General features: G+C 35.5%; 1 long non-coding RNA gene across 1 annotated transcript in view, besides 3 other annotated features; it reads left to right on the forward strand.

The window, feature by feature from the left end:
• The window catches only part of LINC02789 (long intergenic non-protein coding RNA 2789), a 244710-nt gene that overhangs the window by 73401 nt on the left and 146918 nt on the right, over positions 1-24391 (forward strand). The window lies entirely within an intron of this gene.
• Positions 21416-21515: an enhancer, noted in NCBI's record as "active region_2291". NCBI's record gives its function as "activates an Ori minimal core promoter by ATAC-STARR-seq in GM12878 lymphoblastoid cells {active_cell/tissue: GM12878}" and the evidence as "EXISTENCE:reporter gene assay evidence [ECO:0000049][PMID:35858748]".
• Positions 21556-21665: an enhancer, noted in NCBI's record as "active region_2292". NCBI's record gives its function as "activates an Ori minimal core promoter by ATAC-STARR-seq in GM12878 lymphoblastoid cells {active_cell/tissue: GM12878}" and the evidence as "EXISTENCE:reporter gene assay evidence [ECO:0000049][PMID:35858748]".
• Positions 21686-21775: an enhancer, noted in NCBI's record as "active region_2293". NCBI's record gives its function as "activates an Ori minimal core promoter by ATAC-STARR-seq in GM12878 lymphoblastoid cells {active_cell/tissue: GM12878}" and the evidence as "EXISTENCE:reporter gene assay evidence [ECO:0000049][PMID:35858748]".

Consider the following 24391-nt stretch of genomic DNA (forward strand, 5'->3'; position numbering starts at 1 on the left):
GTGGACCACCGAGGGCAGTGCACAGTATCAGCTCCTTTTGTGGAGACAGCACAGCTGTGTGGGCTCCAGTTAGCTCCCTCAGGTGGGCTTAGTGCCTGTGAGGACTGCAGGGGACCCCAGTGGTGAGGGCTGTATTTGTCCCAGATGCTGATGGTGGCTACTGGGATCTTATCGTTTACCTTTTCTCCATGGGAGAAGTTCCTTCTAGTTCCCAGCTGATATCTAGTGGGGGATGAAATGATGGAGGCCAGGTGTTCTCTTCTCTATGTGGTTATCCTGAGTTTCTGTGCTCACCAGGATTTCTGTTACTCCTAAGATGTACTTCAGTGCTCTCCCTTAGTTATTTTCCCTAAAATATAGTTGTTCATTCATTGCTTTGGCTCTCATGGTGGGGAGGAAGAGCAGTAGGGGCTTCCAGTAGACCATCTTGCTGATGTCACTTCTCAGACATAGTGAGGTTTTAATAAAGCTAAACAGATTAAAATTAAAGTTTTTTTTTGTTCTGAGATTTTGTCCTTTGTTTCTCTCTTGGACATTAAATTTACTCCTTTTTATTTAAATAATGGTATCAAGAGATGGTAGGTTTTTTTGTACTTGGTTTTTAAAATTTGTACTTGACAAAATAAAAGTTGACACTTCATTTTGAATGGCTTTTTTTGTTTAATTGTGTGGACCATGAAATCTCAAAGTCTGGGAACCACTGATTTATGCCTTGAGGTCAGGCCCAAGGCTTACATCAACTCTGGGAAGTTGCCCTGTGTATCCAGTTAACAAAGTAGATGTTCAATATTCCAGAGTATTGGCACACTATGTCTACTCCACAAGCATGACTAGATCTTTTCATTCTCATATGTTTTCATGAAGTAAGCATGTCTTTTTGTCTTTCTAATTTACTTCCTATAGCTTTATGCTCATTTCTTACAGCCAGTGACATTATATTTATCAAATATCTTAATTAAATTTAACAATGGTCCCTGTGACTTATTATGGGGGAAGTAGAATACAATTAAAATTATCAAGTTAAAAGTAAAATAAGAGATCACATTAAATTCCCCCATTTTATACTCTCTGGGCTACAGATGCCAGTAGCTATACGTTTTGCTAAAACTCAGAGAGATTTAAACAATTTGTCTGGGGTTTGAGATCTAGTTACTAGAAAATTAAAAATCTGGTTACTATGGACATTTTTCTTCACTCATTTAATTAGGTATAAGTCCTGGTAATTGACCTCTCAATTGATCCCCCTTGCCTCCCTGTCTTGCTCTATTCCACTGTCCCCACCCCTACGGGCACTTTTGCCTACATGAGAACCTTAGGCTGTCAATGTCTTTCTCCTAGCTACTACTAGCCATGTTCATCTATCCTTCTGCCAACTTTAATCTTTAGACAGCTGTAAACATAACATTCTCTTGTTCAGAGTTTTTTAGGACTTTTCATTACTGCCTGGATGTCAATCTCCACTGCCCATCATTTAAAGCCTTCCCCAATCCAATTCTGCACACATATTTCTAAATTTCAGACTACAATTTCTACACATAGTAGAAAAACAAAATTCTTTTCATTGAAAGAAGGAAAAGGAAATGAATTAATCATTGAAAGTCTACTAGGTGCTTGTCTTAGTTGATTTGGGTTACTATATAACAAATTATCAAGGACAGAGTGACTTAAACAACAGAAATTTATTTCTCATGGTCCTAGAGTCTGAGGAGTCCAAGATCCAGAGTCTGGGGAGGGCTGGCATCCTGGTTTCTAGATGATTGACTTCTCATTGTATACCCACATAGTCAAAAGAAAACTCATTTCTCTTTTCGTAGGGGCACTAATCCCATTCATGAGGGCTTCACCCTCATGACCTAATTACCTCCCAAAGTCCCCACCTCCTAAACCATCACATTGGCAGTTAGGGCTTCAACATGTGAATTAGGGGACACAAACATTCAGTTCACGATAGTACTAGACCAATTTATGCACATTTTCGTATTTATTTCTTCCCAGAAATCTATGAAATAGATATTATTATTACCATTTCACAAACGAGGAAACTGGGGCTCAGAGACTCTATGAAACATGTGAAAGTTTATAAAAATGATGAGTAATAGAGAAGTGATTCAGGTCTTTCTGCCCCTCAAACATCTGTTCTTTCTACTATTCAGCATTCCTGTCTTTTAATTTGGGAAATAAAATTTTTTGTTCCAGCCTAAACAATTATCAGCACCAGTTGATAGACAGGGACCATTTAGAAAAAGAACTAAAAGTTCCCATGCAGCCTCTAAAATTATGCCAAATATTTGGCCCAACACCTGCCACTATTGGGAACAATAGCTCAGAAATTCCAGACTTGACTAGGGAAGTTTCTCCAGGATGCTGAGAGGATCCACTTCACTCAGGAATATTACCATTTTTATGTTTCAATCTGACATTTCAGTATCCAAGGATAGGTGCCTCATTGATCCCACTTTTATCACTAGAAGTTCACAGCTCAGAGTGGGAAAGGACCTTATTTAACTCCTCAACAAATGAAGCTGATGGAATTCAATGAGGTAAAGTGACTTTCCTAAAGTCATACAGCTAAGAAGGGGCAAACATAAGACCAGGAAGGTCCATTATATCAGTGTATGTAGAAATTCTCTATTATTATCTATTAATATGAGACATTCTTGAAACAGAAAATAAAACAACCATCAATTGAATTTTAAAATTTTAATCATTCTTTCAATATTTAAAAGTTTAAGGGGTAAAAATGCTGTATTGATGAAGATCAAGGGCTGTAATATTGAAAAACTTCAATTAGACATGTTTGGGATATCTTGAGTCTTACCTGAACAGAATCTTGAAGGAAAACAAGACATGAATAGGGAAAACAAAAACAAAACAAAACAAAAATTCTATGATCCCAAATGTCATTCCATTGTCCATGGTGGCAACGTTAATTATGACCCTCTTTTACTGCCTAATGTGACTTCTGAATTCTCAACACAGCACTCCAGGCAACCACCAGTAAGAGAAGTGACTTGACATGCAAAATGAAATCTATTTTCAGAATTGAGCTACCAGCAAGAGCAAACAGATCAAAAAGACATCAACATGGTCAAATGTGGGCCATTCAAGGGACAGTAAGTCAATTAGACTGCCTGAGTATAGTTCACAAATAGCACAGTGTGAAATTAACATAAGGGAGGCCTTGACAAAAAGTTTAATTGAATTCTCTCCTTTAATAATGTCTTTGCCATATTTCAAGTCATCTTTCCTAAAATATTGTAAAATATTTTTGAAAATGTTTGAATTCCTGAGCCATTAGCCTTTTTTCTCTTGGTGAAGATTTAGTTTCATCTTTCCCTCTACTTGTTGAATGTGGCAGTTCTAACCATTAGAACATGTGCTGAGTGATTTGGGCGGCTCTTCGAATCACTTACAAATTGAAGCACTCAAACAAGTTTACATCAGTTTATTCTTCAGTGTCTGCACATGCCCAGATGTCTGAACACAAGAGAAGAACTCTTTAAAAAAAAAAAAAAGAGTATTTTCAGCAGCCTCAAATTTCTATGCATTATACATTCCTGGAACCCTGATAACGTCCAAATTGAAGCACTCTGGGAAGTTTAGAGAGCTTGTATAATTTTAAATTGTCCTATACATGGCTCAGACCTCATGTACTTCACAAATTGAAGAACCTTTCAATTTTGAACATTTCAATAATTTTAAATCAAGGCATGCGCATCTAGATTTAATTTTTACTTGCATTTTAACTTACGTCACATAGACCAACTGAAAAATAAATCATTATTCTGATATATTTCTAGAAACTCACTTCCATTTTCAAAGAGATTTTTAGTGTGTTTCTCTTTGCTGTTTGTGATTAAATCAACATAGCAAAAGCATCACAGGCTGAAGAGGTATGTTTACTACACTTGACTATGTTTGCTGCACTTGAATTTGAAAATGCCAATACAACAATGTGCCTTACTCTAAAAAATTAAAGCCGTGTTACCATTAAGGCTGACATTTGGCTACTACACTGAGTATCACAACTAGTAAGATTTGACTACAAAAGAAAACTTAGCTCTTTTCTTAAAATAAGCTAGCTATGATAACGAGAGCTAGACAGTGGGAAAATTTGAGCTTGTGAGGCCCTAAAGAGTTTTTATTTTCAAAGGTACAAATTATTGAATTTAGAATAAGAAGGAACCTCTGTGGCTACTCAAGTCTGCAGAGTTATATTACATGACTGAATGAATGAATAAAAGCTCTGTACATTATAATTTGGAATGCACTGAATTAGCAAACCTCCCACACCCCCAACCCCCCAAAAAGTAAAGATGTTTAAAGTAAAAGCAAAAGAGTCTGCCATCAGATCTCACAGAATAACTCCGTGGGAATTCCCCACATGAAAGATTACAGGATATGACCTAAGGATATATCACCCTACACAGTCATAAATTAAATTTACTGTAAGAACCACACAAACAGAGAAAAAAAGAATCACAGAGCCGTACAATAAAAGCCAGCCTAAAATTAAGGGTATTGATCATTTGCCTAAGAAGTGAGAGCACAAAACCATAGAGTGATTAATGGTATTATTATTAGAGGAGCTCACCCAACCTCCTATGTTCCCAACAGAAAATTGATACTGTTTTAAATGTTTTGCCACTGTAATTTTTTAATATGTCAGCCAAATGTTTTATCTAATTGCTAAAACACAATCAGGAATAATTTTTAATTCAGTGTTAAGTATTCATTTGAAATAAATGATTGCTTATGTTTCATGTGCAGTGGAAGGAAAACCCACAATTCATCTAATTCTGAATTTTTCTGGTTGCTTTTCTCTTACATAAAATTTCTAGACAATATAGTCGCATTTTCCCTAAGTAAACATGAGTAAATCAAGCCCAGAGCCCATTCTCCAAACTGAGAAGATTGGAAAATGTAATTTCCCACCCTGAGCTCTCAGATGAATAGCCACGAGTACTTCTTAGCAGCTGGGACAAGGAGAAAAAAAAGATACATGGAAAGTATACCTCTGTTTTTAAATAAAAGTAAAGACTTGATTTTAAGTAGAGGTTAGGGTCAGGCCAGGTCAGACATTTGATTCCCTGGGTCAGGCCTCTTCAGTCTGTGACCTACCAAGAGAGGCATCATGTTCTAACTCTTCTCTGACAAAAGCAGCAAAAACAAGGCATTTTAATACAATCTGGACTAATTAGGCTTCCAAGTTAGAATAAAAGAACATTTTTTTTAAAAAAGACATAGAGCCTTTCTTATTTTATGGCAACTAAAAAGAGTATTGTGATCAAATAATGGCATATGTGAAAAGTGGCAAGAGGCAAATTATCCTGTTTTCCAAATTTCAGGAAAATCATTTTTCCAAACTAATAGGATTACCCATCACAAAGAATGTTTGAAACTGCTATTTTATATGGCAACAAATCCAACCATAGAAAAAAGAAAACAGAATGAACAGCCTCAAGAAAGAAACATAATGGAAAAGGCTCATGGGGGCTTGTATTTGGCCTATTATTTACAAGCGAAAAATTCCTTTGTTAGCTGTGAACAGACTTTATGGCAAAACCCCATAGACCAGTCTCAGACCAAGCAAAATCCCTTATAATTGCCAAAATTTGATTTATGTAAACTTAGGAGATCCTGGTCTCTGCCTCACTATTTGCAGGAAAAATGTTTCTGTGAACATGATGAATAGAAATTATGCATAATTGATTAGCGAATGAAAATTCCAGCGTAAGACGTAAGATGCATGCATCCTCATTTTGAAATTTGAGAATTTCATGCTGTGGAATTTCTTTTGTGCCTTTGAGGCATTTTTAACATATATGATTTCAAGAAATATTTTTTCTTATTACAATGGAATTACTATTATGCTAACTCTTTAATTTTTAGTAAAGGAAATTAGTCATATTATCACTGAATAAAATAATAAAAACATTTTAGAAAATACTCGAAACTACTGAAGGAATAACTTACATCCTACCATACATAAGCTTCTTTACATACAATGTCACTGCAATATTTTAAAGAAGTATCAAGAAGAAATTTAAAAGTTTATTTTTCTGGTTTTATTATTCCTTTTCATATGTAAGCTCTGGGTACATTATGAAAAGAAATTGGTTATTTTATTCCTTCTTTTGCCTGAGCTGGGCTACCATTGTTGCTAAACCTCTCAAAAAAAGTAAAACTTTATTCACTATGTGATCGTCTCCAACAAAAATTTTGGCATGGAGGGTCAACTTGTCATATTTCCTCTTCACATGGTTCAATTAAAAATACAGAAAGAGCCCACAATTCAATGAGATAATATGGACCCAAATTTTTTTCACACAGTACAGAATTGTTTATAAATATAGTTGATACAACATAGAAAGCAGACAGTGTAGTAATGATGCCTTTTCTGTAAAATGCATGCTTATTCTTGCATTTATATGTTGGGCATGGACAAGGATGTGTAAGTGGCTGCAGCAATTAAAAAAAAGTAGGAATAAAAAAAGAATACAAAAGAAAAGACAAAAAAAAAAAACACAAATATATATTTTTTTCCAGTGCTTGGTTAGTGGCAGTTTCTGTAACATCTGATAATTCTCTTGAGTCAATTGGTTATTTGGTTTTTTTTTTAACCTTATGGGGGTCATATTATTCTCTTAAGCACAGCATTAGGGAATTCCCCCCCCCCCGACAAAAAATGATAGGTTAAAGGAACATTTGGAAGACAAAAAGATAGGTCTGTGAAGGAGTGAACACTTATAAGAATCAAATGGAGAAATCAAAGTTGAATCCAAAAATTTCATGAATAGAAGATTGACATTAAAGCAAAAGAAAGACCTACAAGTATACCCTGAGGTGTAAGTAGTATAAGCAAAGTGTTACGTACATGTGTATTTACATTTTATTTATTTTTAAGATGGAGAGACTGAATCACATCTGAAAACCAATAAACAAATCAGTGCACAGAGGAGAAACTAGGTGAGGCCAGCTAGAAATCCAGAGAAACCTTTACTGGATTGTTCACAAGTACAGTGATCAAGACACAAATTTAGAGAAAGAGTGTGGGGATTCGTGAAATGTTGGTTCCTAGTTCAGCATTTCTCTTTTAGCTGTAGGGTAAAGGTTTTCAGGAACAGGGAGGAAAATGTCTGGCATCTTTTGGGAGATCCTCTCTAATAAAATCACCTTTGGGATTGTCCCTTGGGCCTACTGGAATATTATCTTCACATACTCCAGAGAATATTTGTGTGACACAAATTACTTGGCTTATATAGTCCTCTTTGGGAAATCACATACATGTTAGACTCTGGCCCAGATAAGAAGAAATCTCATTAACATTTTGCAGACATAGTTTACAGGATGACTATAAGTAACATGAAAAATATGTGAGTGTGTTCTATGCTGTATCAGGAGAGAAAAAAAATTCAACTTAGAAACTATTGCTTCAATGGTTTGGTGGAAGTTCACAGTTTAGAATTTCAGCTCAGTAAATTTTGATAATCAGATTAACATTAGTGTATATATACACATACATATATACATATATACATATATTATATATTAATATATGCATATATAAATAAATATACATACATAGATATATATACATATCATATATATATATATTTCCTAACATAACTAAGCTTACAGACTTGGTTTGAACCTCATTGTATAGAAGCCTATGCAGTAGCAATAATATCCTGAAATTATTTTTATTTTAATACAAGGGATTTGGAATACTTGGCAAACATTAAGACCATTAACTATATTTTCAGATGAAGAACCAACAACAAAATGAGATGACATGGTGCTAGTTATTTTAACTACTCAAAGATAAAAGAAAGAATAGGCTATAGGCAGAGTCCACATAGCGTGATTTTTCAGGCACTGAATATTTTGCAACATTCCATACTTCCTCCTTTGACTCTCAAAAATATTTCCCTCAAAAGATCTTCACTCTATCTAAAATTCAAACACCAGTCAATCTATTCTGGGTACCAATTTAGATTATTTAAAGTTATATTTAAATGCTTCACTAGGAGGAGAAATGTATTAAAACATCAATAACCAGAAAGTCTTTAGGGTAAATTAGTTTATTAGATTAGTTAACCAATTATCTTGAAAATCCCAGAGACACACATCCATCTTAGTGCATGTGAGGAAGTCTAGGCTTGATGTGGGAAAAGGAGAATTGTTCAAGAGGTTAAGATTGCATGAAGGACAGTGTACTGTCCCTCTACTAGAAGAGAACAACTATTTCTAAAGGAAAATGGAAGAAGAAAAAAAAAAGAAAAGAAAGGAAAAGGAAGGGCAAAGAAAGTATCTTAGAAAACTTCACTGTGATTGTCTATTGCTGTACAACAAATCACTCCAAAACATAGTGGCTTAAAAGAACCACTCTCACTTTGTTATGTCTTAGAGTTTCTACGAATCAGGAATTTGGAAGAGCTTGGAAGTGTGGTTTTGGCTCCAGGTCTCTCATGAGGTTACTTAGCCAATATATAGAATTAGAACAGAACAATGCAGGCCTCAGTCAGCTAGGGACTAGATGAGCATTTCTCACTCTCTTTATGTAGTCTCAGAACCTTTTCAAGTCATCTCTTCATGTGGAACAGTTTTAACTTCTTAGCGTGAAGCATGGCAACATAAGTAAGGCCAGACCGTTTATATGTGCTTAAAGGTTTAATAGGTCTAATAGCAAACAAAATTGAATAAACTTTTATGATTTAGCATCAGAAATCACAGTGTATTACTTTTGCCCTAAGGTATTGGTTTAAATAAGCCACAAAAACTCTCTTAAATAGAAAGAGATTCAAAGTCGCACTGCAGGAAAAGCACATGAGATGGAGAATACTGTTGCAGTCATCTTTAGAACATACAATCTGCTATAGACTAGGATTAGCTTTAAACATCAACTTTAGCTTTACCACCCTTTGCGCAACCATCCATATAGTCAGCATAATTACACCTGTATGTTATCACCAGTGCAAGAAAATTTCAGCTCAACAAATCTTTCTGAGGGAATAATCACTAAAACCATAGAAGATTGAAAGAAGTATATCCATAATCAACTACAATAAAAGTTCATATTTCTTGAGAATTTACTATATGACCAGCTCTGTGCTTAGCTTATTAAATTATCACAATTACCTATAATAAATGCATATAAGGAATTTGATATTAAAGATTATAAATGAAAAGGCATTACTTTACTTTTCTGTAGGACATAACTAAATTTCCCTTAGTTATGTCAGACCTAGCTGACATCCCTTTTTCATAGCTGAACAGAAACAGTGAGAGAGACCTGGTTACTCTAAATTTATAATTCATATAAGTCTCCTGATGTTTTCTATTCTCTGTCTGAGGAAAGAGACAAACCTTAGGTGGACTAATTCTTATAAAAATTTCAACTTTGGACCAATGCAGCTAAATCATTAATGTGTAACAAAAGAAATTAAGAACACCTTTTTGGGGGAAAATTACAGTCTGAAGCCTCTACGATTCTTTATAAGCAATGTCTTACCTAGAAAAAAAACTTACAAAACATGAGAAGATAGATAAATAAAAAATATATAATGCAAGGCAAAGAGAATAAATAAGAGGAGCAGGAGAATGGGGCAAAAGTAGTATTTGAAGGAATAATGGCTAAGAATTTTCCCAAACTAATGAAAACATTATTGATCCAAGATTTGAGAAGCTCAGACAATACCAAGAATGATAATTAGAAAAAAATAAAACACTCAGACACATCAAAATTCAAATGCTGAAAACCAAAGACAAAGACAAAAATCTTAAAAGCAGTTGGAGATTGATTTTTGAAAATTCAACATTAAATCTTATGACTGACTTTTGAAGTGAAACAATGGAACCTAGAAAACAATGCAATAATACCTGCAAAGTGCCCAGATGGGAAAGAACCTGCCAATTTATAATTCGAATTCCTTAGTATACATCTTTCCAAAATTGAAGCAGTTTAAACTTATTTTCAGATTCCTCCCCACCCACCACCACCCAAAAGAGCTAAAAAATGTGTGCCAATCGACCTGCACTATAAGAATTACTAATGAAGTTTTTTCAGGTTGAAATAACAGATGAAACTATAAAGCCACAGGAAGAAAGGAGGAGCACCAGAAATGGTAAACTTGAGAAATACAAAAGACTGTGACTTTTAAAGCAAGGGTAATGATTATGCCTTGTTGTTTTCTAACATAAGGAGAAATAAATTATATGTCCATGATATCAAAAAGCATGGCTGGAGGTGGTAAGTAAATAGAGATAAATGTTTTCAAATTTCTAACATCATTCAAAAAATGGTAAGCATTCTAATTGAAGGGAGATTGTAATAAGTCAAGGATACATATTTTAAACTTTATAATAACCAGAAAATTATAATAAAATATATTTATAAATCTAATAGAAGAGATAAAAATATACTAAGAATATAGAATATATACAGAATATAATTAACCAACTGGACTTAATATTTTAATTTTTAATTAATTAATATTTAAAACCCTATACCCAAGAGTTGAAGAATAGATATTATTTTATAATACTCAAGGGAACATTTAAAATAATAGACTAAATTAGTGTTAGAACATAAGTATGAACAAATTTTAAAAGACTAACATTAAAAGTATGACAAGAGAAATTAATTTAAAAATCAACAAAATTAAAATCAAACAGAACTATAGCCAGAAGATCCCCACATGATTGGAAATTAGGCAGCATATCAGAATATCAAAATGAAAATTAGAAAATATTTGACCTGAATATTAATCTCCATCTGCCTGTCTATTAGAAGGATATTTTTCACTGGATTCAGGGCCCACCAGGATAATCCAGGATGATCTCCTTCCCTCAAGATCCTTGACTTAATCACATCTGCAAAGGCCCTTTTTCCAAATAAGTTAACATTTGTAGGTTCTGAGAATTGGGATCAGGCACATTTTTGAGGCCACCGCTCAAGCTACTACAAACCTCAACAGGATTTTTTTCATGGAAATTAACAAACTGATTCTAAAATTATATGGGCATATCTCAAATAACCAAGTCAAACTTGAGGAAGATGAACAAACTTGGCAGACTTATGTTTTCTGATATCAAGATTTACTATAAAACTACAGTAACTAAGATAGTAGTTAGTACAAATATAGACAGAGAGATCTGTGAAATAGAATAGAGTCCAAAAAAATGCACACACAGTTTATAACAAAGGTTCAATGGTAGTTTAGTAGGAAAAGGGCAATTCTTTAACTAAATGATGCTGAAGTAGTTGAGTATCCACATAGAAACAAAGAAAAAACAAACTACCTGATTTCTACTTTACACTGTATATAAAAATTAATTTGACAAGTGTCTTAGGTAAGGTCTCTAGAAGCAGAGACTAACATCATGATTTATCCCATGAGATTTATTGATAGAGTGGTCTCCAGAAAAAAAGAAAAGTATGAGAGAGACTGAAGCAAATTAAGGGAGAGTAAAAAACCTGACAAGGATATAGTCTTAGGTAAAGTCTAGCCTTGACTTGATCCACCGTTTATGCCTCTGAAGCATAGACTGTATTACCCCATTACCTTTCCTTTGTCAAGGAACCTGGCATTTTATACAGCTGTATGAGTGAGTTATTTGCTGTTGCCATGGTTTGAGGGAGAGGTATAACTTCCCAAGTGAGTCTTTGAGCCATTGGCAACTAATACGCAGCTTGAGATAGATAGATGAACTGATCTGAAAAAAATAGGATCTGTTAAGGGCACTATAATACTTACTACAAGACAGATCACAAAAGTAAAACAATAAAACTTTTGGAAAAAATAGGAAAAATATCTTCAGGTACTTAGGGACAGGTAAATATTTCTTTAAAAAGACACAAAAAAGCTATAAAAATAAATTGATTAAATTAATTTTTTAAAAAAATCAATAACTTCTGGTAAATAAAAAATAAACATCATTACGCCTGCCCTTTTCTGGTTTCCCTAAGCAAGCCCACATCTCTGAAGCAGGCCCTTCATTGAGTCTTTCCATATGGATTATCTGGGGTAAAACCTGCTTCCTATTGAAACTCTAATTACTATGAATATGCAAAACTAGTTTTGTTGTGAGGCTTATATGAGGAAATTCATCTAAAGTGTTAATACAGTGTTTAGCATGTAGCATTTAATAAATCTTAATTTTAAATTAAACACTTTGTTTTATAAGTTTAGCAAACCATCCTCAAGCACTTCAAGATTGGCAAGACCACTTCTATTGTAAAAATATTGACATTATCTCTTATTTCGATGGCATTACATTATTTGATCCTCCCCTAATTCTCTTAATCCTAATTCCATGTTCAAAAACAAACCTTTTGATTTTCATTGTTTCTCATTTAGATTCACTAGTAAAAAAAATCCTGATAGCAGATGTATCACGATAGTCCATTCTCTGTGATGATTATTTCTCATTTCAAATTAATGAACCAGCATTCTAATTCTAACTTGACTCTGAAGCTAGCCTGATGAATGAAAATGAAAACACTATGTTACTTTAAATTTTGTTCTCTTTGATAATATTCTTACGGTAAATGAATGAGTTGTAATTCCGACTTTATACAAACTTCTCATGAGCTTGTATATTTTCATTCAGAAATTCAAGAATTATCTATCCTGCTACATAGTTACATGACCTAGGGATATTTCAGCACATTATAAAAGACCAGTCCCTATCCACATGGATGCTGCATTCTGAGCAGGGAAACAGGAGTAAACAAATGCTTAAAAGGAACACAATGATCAGATGACAATAAGAACTAAGCAGAAAATTAAAACACGGTGATATGATAGAGAGTGAGTAGGTGGCTAGTTTAGATGAGGTTGCTAGGACAGACTTCTCTGGGAAGATGATCTCAGAACTCATCCCTAGATGTCAAGAAAAAGGCAGTCATGACAAGATAAGGAGAAACATGTAAAGCAGAGAGAATGGCTAAGTATAAAAGCCCTGAAGTGAGAATGAGCTAGAGATTCCAAAGATGAGACTTATAATGATCTGTTCATGGAACAGAAGGAATGCCAATGTAGTCTAGAAAGTGATGGAAAAAAATTGTATGAGATGAAATAAGAGAGATAGATAGCTAGTGAGAAGTTCCTCTAGGACTAGGTAGTAAGAGTTTGTGTAATTTTTATTCAGTGTTCATCTGCTCTGGTGCATTGACAGGATAGGCAGATATGGTAGGCTTAACTAGGTTTGGGGTTTTATCATATGACTGTGACAAAAGGAAAAGAAGAGCAAGCTGGATAAACACATAAATAATCAGAGTCTAAACTAATAAGGACATAAAGGGGGAGATGGAGACTATCATGGCAGTGGGATCAATGACTTGAACATTTCATTGCTGAAGTAAAAATTCTGGACTGAGTGACGTACAATCAGAGGTGGCTGTTAGAACGGGAAGCTTCGGATAGAGAACTTGAAGAATATGTGACAAAGTTACAATGCTGAGTGTATGTTGCTGAGGAGGAAAAAATATATTATTGAATACCAAGAGATCAAGGAACTGAAGATGATACAAGGTAATGCATTCCAGAGAACACAGTGAAAGTGAGGGGAGGGCCTAAAAGGGTGGAGGTTTGAGGCCTTTTAGGAGATACTTAGAGATATGGGGAACAGAAGGAATTCATAAAATTATATGCTAAAGCTTGAGTTTCTAGTGAAGGCTATGATAAATAACAAGGTGAATTTAATCTAAAGGTCCATTATTAAACTATGAAAACACTATGTCCCTAAGAGCATCTCTTTCCCTATTTTGTGGGAAAGAAGAAATATTTACTAAAATTAAAATGACAAGGAATTCCTGAAATGGAAAATGAATCCTTAGATGTCATGCAACCTAATTCAATGGGTTCTTAAAAGCCTATATCATAAATAAATAAAAAGAGCTCTCCAGTGTGAAATCCTATAATTCACTCTGGAACATATAGACTTTTATGTTGGTATGTACTTTTTAGGGACTTATCTCAATTCTCTGCTGTCATGTGACAGCTAGCTTCTCTTGTACTCCTGGGAGACTGAATGAATCCTTCCACTCTCTCCCAATCCTTAGGGCTAAATTGTTCCAGTCTTCTAGTTGTTTCAAATTTATCTTCTAGAAGATTCCTCAGAAGGGGCTTATGTGAACAATATTCTCTGAGTTCTTATATGGTCATATTAGTTTATAAGGAGACTTTATAATTTAAGCTCAGTTTGGCTGGAAATAAAAAGGACTTTGAGTCACACTTTATTTCTCCTTCTTCAAAAAATTCCCCATTTTCTTCTCGCATAAAGGATTGTTGTTAAAAAATCTGATAACAATCTAGGTTATTTTTATTAATAAATCAGTTGTTTGTTTTGTCACAGTGCCAAAGGCCTCTTTTCTTTTTTGTAAAGTCCAACCGTTTACCAAAACATATCTCTATGTTGATCCATTCTGGATTGATTTTCCCAGATATATGACATGGAATTTTTATATATAATTTTAATCCCACATTTCTATCTCTTATTAGATACCTAATACGTATATTTTATTTTATTGTAGTAAGACATATATTACAATATGCCATTTTAACAATTTTTAAGTATACAATTCAGTGGCATTAAGTACATTCACAATGCTGTGCAACCATTACCATTATCCATTCCCAGAACTTATTCATCATCATCCTCAACGGAAACTCTCTACCATTCAAGCTCCCCATTTCTACTCAGCAATCCACCTTGATCACCTGTATTCTACTTTCTGTCTCTATGAATTTGCCTATTCTGGGTACCTCCTCTAAAAGAATTATATAACATTTGTCCTTTTCCATTTGGCTTATTTCACTTAGGTAATCTCATCAAAGTTCATTCACACTGTAGCACGTATCAGAATTTCACTCCTTTTTGAGGCTGAGTAATAGTCCTTTGCATGCTTTTACTATACTTTATCCATTAATCTGTTGATGGATATTTGGGTTGCTTCCACCTTTTGGTTATTGTGAATAATACTGCTATGAATATTTGTGTACAACTATTCATTTGAGTCCTTGCTTTCAATTTTATTATTTTTTAATTTTTAATTTTCTTTTTAGAGACAAGGTTTTGCTCTGTCACCCAGGCTGGAGTGCAGTGGCATGATCATAACTCACTGCAGCTTTGAACTTCTGGATTCAAGGGATCCTCCCCACTCAGCCTCCCAAGTAGCTAGGAATACAGGCACTCACACCGTTCTTTTTATTTTTGTAGAGACAGGGTCTTGCTATGTTACCCAGGCTGTTCTTGAACTCCTGGCCTCAAGTAATCCTTCCGCGTTGGCCTCCCAAAGTGCCGGGAGTGCTGCGTGCATTGGCCTCCCAAAGTGCTAGAAATTGTTTTAGATATGTATCTGGTGACGTGAAATTGCTGGATCATATGTTAGTTCTATTTTTAACTTTCTGAAGAATCGCCAGTTTTCCTCAGCAGCTGTACCAGTTTACATTCCTACTAGCACTTGTTAGTTTCCATTCTTTTGATAAAAGCCATTTTAATGGGCGTGGGATGGTGTCTTGTGATTGTCATTTGCATTTTCCTAATGACTAGTGATATTGGGCATCGTTTTACCTACTTATTGGTCATTTGTATATCTTCTTTGGAGAAATGTCTATTTGAATTCTTTGTCCATATTTAAATTGGGTCTTTTGTTTGTGTTTTAATTGTTGAATTTAAGGAATTCTTTATACATTCTGGATATTAATCCCTTATCAGATATATGATTTGCAAATATTACCCCCATTCTGTGGGTTGACTTTTCACTCCCTTGATAGTGTTCTTTCATGCACAAAAGTTTTTAATTTTGATGAAGCTCAACTTACCTATTTTTTCTTTAATTGTCTGTGCTTTTGGTGTTACATCCAAAAAATCATCACCAAATCCAATATCATAAAGATTTTCCCCTATATTTTCTTGTAAGAGGTTTACAGTTTTAGCTCATATATTAGGTCTTTGATCTATTTGAACTGTTTTTTATATGCTGTAAGGCAAGGATCTAACTTCATTCTGTTTCATGTGGATATCTAGTTTTCCCAGTACCACCTGTTGAAAAGACTACCATTTTCCCTATTGAATGGTCTTGGCACCCTTGTTGAAAATTAATTCAACATTATATGCCAAGGTTTATTCCTGAGTTCTGTATTTTATTCCACTTATCTACATTTCTATCTTTATGCCAGTACCACACTATTTTGATTACTGTAGCTTTGTAGAAACTTTTAAAATCAGGAAGTGTGACCCCTCCAACTTTGCTCTTTTTCAAAATTGTTTTGGTTATTTGAGGTCCTTTGAGATTGTATGTGAATTTTAGGATAAGTTTTTATTTCTGTAAAAAATATCCTTGAGAGTTTGATAGAGATTGTATTAAATTGATACATTACTTCAAGGAGTATTATCATCTTAAAAATATTAAGTCTTCCAGTCCATAAACTTTTAGTCCATGAAATGCCTTTCCACTTATTTGTGTCATCCTTATCTCAGTAATGCTTTTTAGTTTTCTGTGTATAAGTCTTTTGTCTCCTTGGTTAAATTTATTCCTATTTATATATAGTTTTAAGTCTTTATTTTCGACAATGTATAGAGTAATAATTTTAGTATTGATGCTATTCTATTTTGTTGGTATTGTTCTTTGTGACTCCTGCATACATTTGCTGCATCTGATTGGCTTATTTTTTACATCTACTACATTCTCTCAAATCTTCCATATCTCTTCCTTGTCTTTTTTAAAATTAAAACAAAATTTTCTCCTACCCTTCTTCTATATATTTTAGACATAATTTATTGTGTTTACTTTTTCTGATGCTCCTTATCATTTAGTTTTCATTTCAAAATGATTTTTCTATTGTTTCTAATTATTTTCAATACCTCATTAGCCTTTTAAAATAATTTTTCCCCATAATCTAATATCTAAGTTTTCTAATTCTCATTGATGCTGTTATTTTATAGTTCTATAATTTTCCTAATTTTTTAAGCTAATTTTGAAATAGTTACACTTTTCAAACATAATATGGGCATATCTTTTTTATAATTATATACAATATCTGACCACAGACCTTTTCTATTATTCACGGATAAGTAAGATGAGCTTTCCTTTATTATCAGGAGGGGAGGGTGGGCAAGGTTGGCTTAATTAACTTTATGGCTCTAGCACTCCCTCCCTCTAGTGCTTTTGTTTCTAGGAAGTATTAAAAATATGACTGCATACTTTCTGAGATACGCTGGCCCTCTCCCTCTCTCTCACTTATATCTCGACCATCTCTCTCCTTTGCCCCTATTGTCTTTATCCTGCTAAATGCAGCTCTTAGTCCTGGTAGTTTCTGATTGGTGCAGGGGTTTAACCTAGAAGGGATTTTGCTAGGTTAATTTCAAGTGTTCATACACCTAGACCGACCAAGCACCATACAATTTTACCACAATGCCCTTGCATTCATCTGTTAATTTGAGCCTGCAAAACCCCTTCCCAGTTTTGACTGCTGTTCTCACGTTGGTTCACTTAGAATTCCAGTTGAGTACTCATTGGCCTATTTGGCATTCTCTGGCAATCATCTGAAGTCCTTTTGCTTCACCTCTCCATCCTGCACACAATTGCTGACACATGGGTCTTGTTGCTGTCAGTAGTTTGGCCCTTGCATCTATATTGTAAGGTCTACAGAGATATCTTAGTTTTGCTTTAGATTCATTGTAAATTTGTTGTGGATTTTCCAAAAACTATTTTTAATTTTGCTATCCTATTCCAGTTGTTCTATTTGTTTTAATGGGGGGATGTGAGGGAACATGAAAACCCTGCTCTTGCCATCTTGTTCTAATCTGCAGAAGTTATTAAAGAAGGAAACATTTTCACCTTTTATCATTTATTTATATCAATGAATGACATATGGAAATAGCATTGAAAAATCTTTTAAACATCTGTTATGTAGTGGAGACATAGTGTTACATTGTTCTTTCTTGTTTTCTTAGTTATATTGTAAAATACAGGAATAATATGTATTAATACTTATATCTATGTGTGTAGGTAGGTATATATGTGTTTATGTGCATATTTAACAAAGAAAAGACCACTGGCTTTTTCCCTTTTTGCACTGCCTTTACCTTTTGGATAGCTTTTCTATAACTAAAACAGTCGAGGGAAATTACCTGTCTCATGCTTATGCAAGCCACCAGCACAATGCCTACAAAAAATAAATACAAGTAAATATCTCTGTTGTTGATGATAATGTTGAGGCTGTTTATCATACAAACTAAATTTTAATTATTCATACACAAGTTTTAAAGTCTCTTCTTTTTTTGCAAAAGAGGGCAAAACTATGATAAAACATATAGTTATTTTGAGTTGAATAGAATAAGAATTTCAGAACTTACCTGAATTTTCAACTTTCTTAGATTACCAGATGCACTCATGTATTCAAACTGAGAGACCTAGCTTTTTTTTTTCCTCACAAGTGAAGCAAGAAACCAGTTATCTGCTTTAATGCCTAAAACAGCTGATTACTCCAAGTTCTCCTAGCGATCCTGTTTCATTCACTGACACATAAGCTTATGCTGATGCTAAATGTAAGGTGACAATTTCAAATGTGTCATTCTTAAAGATTTATATTAGAAGTATAATAAAATATAATCTTCAATGCAGATGCATGAGAAAACTCTCATTTCTTAAGTCAGCATTCAAAACAGAGAAGAGAGAAAAATGGAGCAACTTTTAGAGTACATGTTCCATGCCAGGCACTGTAATTGGTATTATATTTACTATACACCATAAAGATGTGGATAAACATGGGTAACATGATAAAAAGGAAAGAGAGTCCAGAGACCTAGATGCTAGACTTTCCTTTGTTATTAGGCTGTGTTACTCCAAGCTATTCATAATTAATATTTGACAGTGATTTCTTAGAAAAGGCACTTGTCTCAACTAATATACAACTTCATTTCCAAATTGTTGAGATGTGCCTAATCAACATTCAAACACTTCTTATTTTGATGGGATCTCCAAATGGTGTGGAGACAGGGCCCTATCTCCCACTCTGGAAATCAAATGAAAGGAGGTGGTTCTCTCTATCTATTCCCTGTTAATTAAAGGACAGGTATGTGGCTTAGGCTTTTGACCAAATCTTTAAATCTCAAGGGAAGGCTACATAGATGAAAAGACAGACAGACATTATTTATGTGACAGTGGTGAAATTGGGAGCAATAAGTCAGCATTAGTATAGTGGTGACACTGGATGGTTGACTTCTTGGGTGCCTAGCCTCAATTATTTCTAACACAATTTTCTGTAATGTGTTCTCTTGCCTTTCTATTGGTTATGCAAGGTACTATACATCATTTCAACTTTCTTTTTCTTTACTACTTCTGATAAGCAGCATTGGTTTCTGCCATTTGCAACCAAGAACCTTTACACGGAAAACAAAACTTTTTGGCTGAAGTTTATAGGATTAATTGTTTAAATGGGAAGTTACAATTTATAAAGGGTTTAATATCTAAACATTTGAGATTGCTTTAAACTACTAGCATTCTCATTTAATAATATTAATAATATATTATCAAGTAATAATTTTAAAAAATATTTTCACATAATATAAACTTGTGAGCAACTAAAGATTATAGAGCTTAGACTACATAATACACACAGCTTACTAATTTTTAAAGAAATTTCAAAAACAATAAAACTGTCATCATTCAGACACAAAATTATCTTTTTTCAAATCCATATTCTACCACTTAGTATACTGTGAGCTTGCAATATACAATTTGCCATCTCTCTGTAGTTGTGACTTAGGTATCTTTTAATTGTACCAGTGGGACTCACAGAACCTGGCTTTGAAATTAACAGCTGAAGATAACTCTTTGTAGTTTATCACTCCAAAACTCCCTGACATAATCCTTTTTGCTATAATTTGATTTTTTTCTCAAAAAGAAACTCTTCATTTTATTTCTGTTCATAATCTCACAAAGGATCCATCGCTACCCTCGCACCTGATGCAGACCCCTACCCCATCACCTTAAAAAATGCTGATTTCCTAAAGTTAAAATGAACACTTAGTTTCCAACTATGGCCATTCTCAACCCTGCCCATTTCTCCTCATTTGCCTGTATATTCACCTGCTCTGTGAACTTGACCATCTTTTGGCTCCCTCTCCAAAGGTAGTTCCCCAAGGGCACTTGGCCTGAATTTCTGCTTCATTATTTGGGTTCCATTCTTACTTCCTTGACTTACAACCTTCCTTGACTTACATAACCAGGCAGCTTTCCTATTCTCATTTGCATAGTAAATCTGCATAGCTTCCTGGCCCTACTTCCTTATTCTATCCCACAGCCACTCCAGAACCCACCAAAAACAACTTGCAAGAAACCACTGATTTGAATTTCAAGAGATCAAGTTTCCAAGCTCTGTCCTGCTCTCTGCAGTCCCTGTGTACCTTAGTTCCTGGGTTATTTGAGTAGTGTAAATGTTGACCGAGGCCAAACATTCCACCATTCTGAGGAAGGAAGGGGAACCACGTTCAGAAAGGGACAGGAGAGGAGAGATGGATAAAACCAGAGGTAGGGGCGTATGCACCCTGTAGTCCTAGCTCCTTGGGAGGCAGAGGTAAGATGCCTTGAGCCCAGGAGTTTGAGACACGCCTGGGCAAAACGGTCAGACATTGCTTACCCTGCCCCCAAAAAAGGCAAGGGTGTGATAGTAGGAATTAAGTTGGAGACAAAGGGATGATAGAGGGGCCCCTCTCACCTCAACACAAAACCAAAAGTGAGTCAGGGCTGAAAACCAGCTCCCCTTACAACACAAAGCCCTGCCCTGCCCACCTAGCTGTGGTGGTCCTCTGTTTGGAAACTAGTCCACTGGCTTGGTGAGCAGATCCTTGACTTCCTAAGCTCCAGCTTGGCTGACTCAGCTCTCTCCCTCAGCTCCTGCTCTGTGACTCCAGCACATGGCCCTTGTCCCCCAGGGCCTCCCCCTCTGCCCAGTTCTTCTAGTGGTCCCCTCAGAGCCTCTGGTCTCTGTTCTTTTGCATGTGGTACCCTTGGGTGGTGTCAGGATTGGGGTAGGAGACCAGGCTAGAAGGCTAGGTGGAAGGAGAGGAGGCTACTGTGGTGAGGACAAGGGCATCAAGCCCGTTCCCCTGCCAGGGCTTGTTGAGGCAGGAGAGGCCTGCAAAGGGTATACAAGGCAGAAGGTTAGAGAAGGTCAAAGGTGGGGAGGGGGAGAGGGAGAGGCATTGCCAGTGGCTGTGGTGGCCATGGGAATAGGTGGTGGGGGAATTGGGACATCAAAGTAAAAGTTTTCCATCTGTCCCAGCTCCTACTTCAGGAGGGAGGCCATGGCTTCCAGGTCATGTGGGAGCAGGGAAAATGGAGGGAGCCTAGCTGGGGTCACATGGGGGGCTCTAGAGCCCCCTGTAAAGTCAAGAGCCCAGTTATCTGGTCAGAGAAGTCATCACCTGTCAGGGCCTTCACCCTCCCCTCAGCCTGCTCTCCAGGGCTCCCGTGAGGATCTTACGAGGCCCAAAGGGGTAGAGGAGTAGAGGCCCGGGAGAGCACCTCATGGTCTAAGAGCTCGCCCAGGCCCTGTCCACAGCACCAGGAGTGGCATGGCTGCAGCACAGGCTCTGGGCACCTGTGGCAGTGGAGGAGGCAGCAGCACCATCTGGAGGAGGATCTGGGCATTGCTCAGATGTTGCAGACAGGCACCAAGGCGAAAGTGAAGGCTTCCATGGGGGCCGAGCAAAGGCAGCTGCGGCCTCTGCTGAAGAAAGAGGAAAGCCTGAGAGCCTTGAACATGGATCCTTCTCCTCCCGGCTTCCGGGTGAGAAAAAAGGACACCTGACGATGGGGAATCTTATTTGAGCTTTCCATTTCTGAATTTTGCCCAAATAGTCCATTAATCCTTTCTGCCAAATGTTGACTGTGTCCAGATCGGTATTAAGATTTTCCCAACAAACATCTTGTCCCCACTTCTGCTCATAGGGTACCACTATTTTCCCAGGACATTATGCATAAAACTTATTATAAAACTTTGCTCTCCCTACCCTCCACCTGGCATATAATCAGGGATCAAATTCTGTCAATCCTTCCTTCACAATCTTTCCCAAACTCATTTCCACTTATAAATTCCTTTCCTTTACCACTATCATAGTGTAAAATTAATACTTTATTACCTCTGATGTAGATCGTGGACAACTGTACATAGTTAAATAAATATGAATAGAATATCGACACAAAACATAAAGAGAGCTTGACATCTATCTCACCATGTCCTAAAGGAAATTAGAGAAATATGTGTTCCTATCTGCCTGACAAAAGGAAGACAAGGATAGGATGAAAAGAGGTGGCATTTAAGTCTGAAAAATGAGTATTTCAATTGCTTCTGCGTTTCCAGTTTCTGTTCTCTCCAAGTCATCCTCCAATCTGTGTCCTGGTCAATCTTTGCAACATACTGTTTTAACTTTGCAAAGTAAGCAAAAGGGCTAGAGTGATATTTTCTAGATGGTAAGTTAGGCATTTTTATTTGGGAACAATGCAGTCATTGTTAGAAATAAATAGACATGAGACAGTTATGTTGTGTGAAAAGAATGTCTGTGGCCGAGTGTGTTGGCTCACACCTGTAATCCCATAACTTTGGGAGGCCGAGGCCAGTGGATTGCCAGAGCTCAGGAGTTCCAGACCAGCCTGGGCCATGGTGAAACCCTGTCTCTATAATAAATAAATAAATAAATATTCATTTTAAAAAGGAATAAAAGAAAAGAATGTTTGCCAAGAAATCTAAATATTTGTGCACTAAGCCTGGATAACTGAAATTTCCTGGAGGGAATGTATATGTATAAGTTTTTAGAAAAATGATTAAATGAAGAAATGGTTGCAATGATGTTAAATGATCTAGATTTTTCTAATATGGAGTCAATTTTGGACAAACAGGTGAAATTGATTGTCATCTTCAGTGCCTAGAATTCTATTTGTTGCCATATTTGGTATGCCTTCTCGTACTCAGCCATCCAAAACCTTCACATTCTTCTATAACCCTTTTTCTAAACCTATTTTTGGGTGCTTTGGTCATACTGAGGAGTCAGTTACTGATACCCGCTCAGATTAGTGAAAATCTTCCCAGTAGAATTTATAGGTGAATACATATAAAATCTTTTATTAGTACTATCTTTGTATTCCTAGCAAAGTCCCTGATTTTCATTAAATGAATAGTGAACAAACAAGAATTTAAAAGTAAATGATTAAATTGAAGACATAAAGGAAAAAGAAACAAGGAAGACGAATAGAAAGAAAGACAAACTAAAGGGGAAAATAAGAGAGTTCAACACTGAAATTTCTGGTCCTAACCATTGGGTAAGGAAAGACAGCAGGGAGATACTGATGTCTTCAAATATCTAGTGAAATTATACCACATATGTGGTCATCAATTGTGTTGATGGTTGTCATACATAAGAGTAATATACTACATTATAATGAAGAATGCAGTGAGAAGTCCTATGTTTTCTAGTTCTTTAATATTTTTGTGTAAAGCACCCATATGTGAAATATTATGAAACAAATCATCACCTAAAATTAGATGCCATTATCATTCATGGTGATACATGTATGTGTATTCACCAATGATATATCTGTAAAAAAATACAATTGAAAGCAAATGACTGAATTTAATATCTAGACATTTTGTAACAGTTATAATGCTTACTATAAGTCTATAGAATTCTGGGGATGGGGGCAATCTTCTTTACTTAATCCCATCATTTAGAAAACACACTTGAAATGTAGAAACTTTTTCTGAAACTGAATGTATGTGACCATCGATAATAATATTGGAATAAAGTTGTATCTTTCTATCCATCTCATACTGCAAAGCCAACTATATAGTATGGAAAATTTTCCTCTCTTTTCTGACTTACATTCATCTAATGACTTGCCTAGATTGGAAAAGCTATCTTATTTTTTTAAGCTTCCCTCCTCATGTCTTATTCAGCATACATTTTGAGGACAGCTGGAGAAGCACATAATGAGTTACATTAATAACTGAAGATGAAGAATGATGGGCATTCTTAAAGGTAGGGGGAGAGAAAAACTGAGAACATGCAGATGTTTGTGTGCAGCCAGGAGTAAATTAGCAATGCATGTAGTGTATCTAAGATCAGAGATGAAGACGTCATGAAAAGGAAGCCTGTGAATATGATTCTCAGCACCATAGCAACACCTGACATGCTGGAATGCCATTACCTTGAAGCCACACGGCCTATCAATGTAGTTACTCCACCTGGAGAAAAATGGGAGAAACACCCACTTAAACTTACTCGTTTTTTAAAAAACATCTCTAAGGGAATTTTAATCAATGGGAAGTTTGTTTTTACTAGAAAAATGTCAGGTAATGTAGAAGAAGCTAGTGCATCATTA

The sequence above is a fragment of the Homo sapiens genome, chromosome 1 (genome assembly GCF_000001405.40).
Source record: "Homo sapiens chromosome 1, GRCh38.p14 Primary Assembly".
In the NCBI taxonomy this organism is placed as follows: Eukaryota; Metazoa; Chordata; class Mammalia; order Primates; family Hominidae; genus Homo; species Homo sapiens.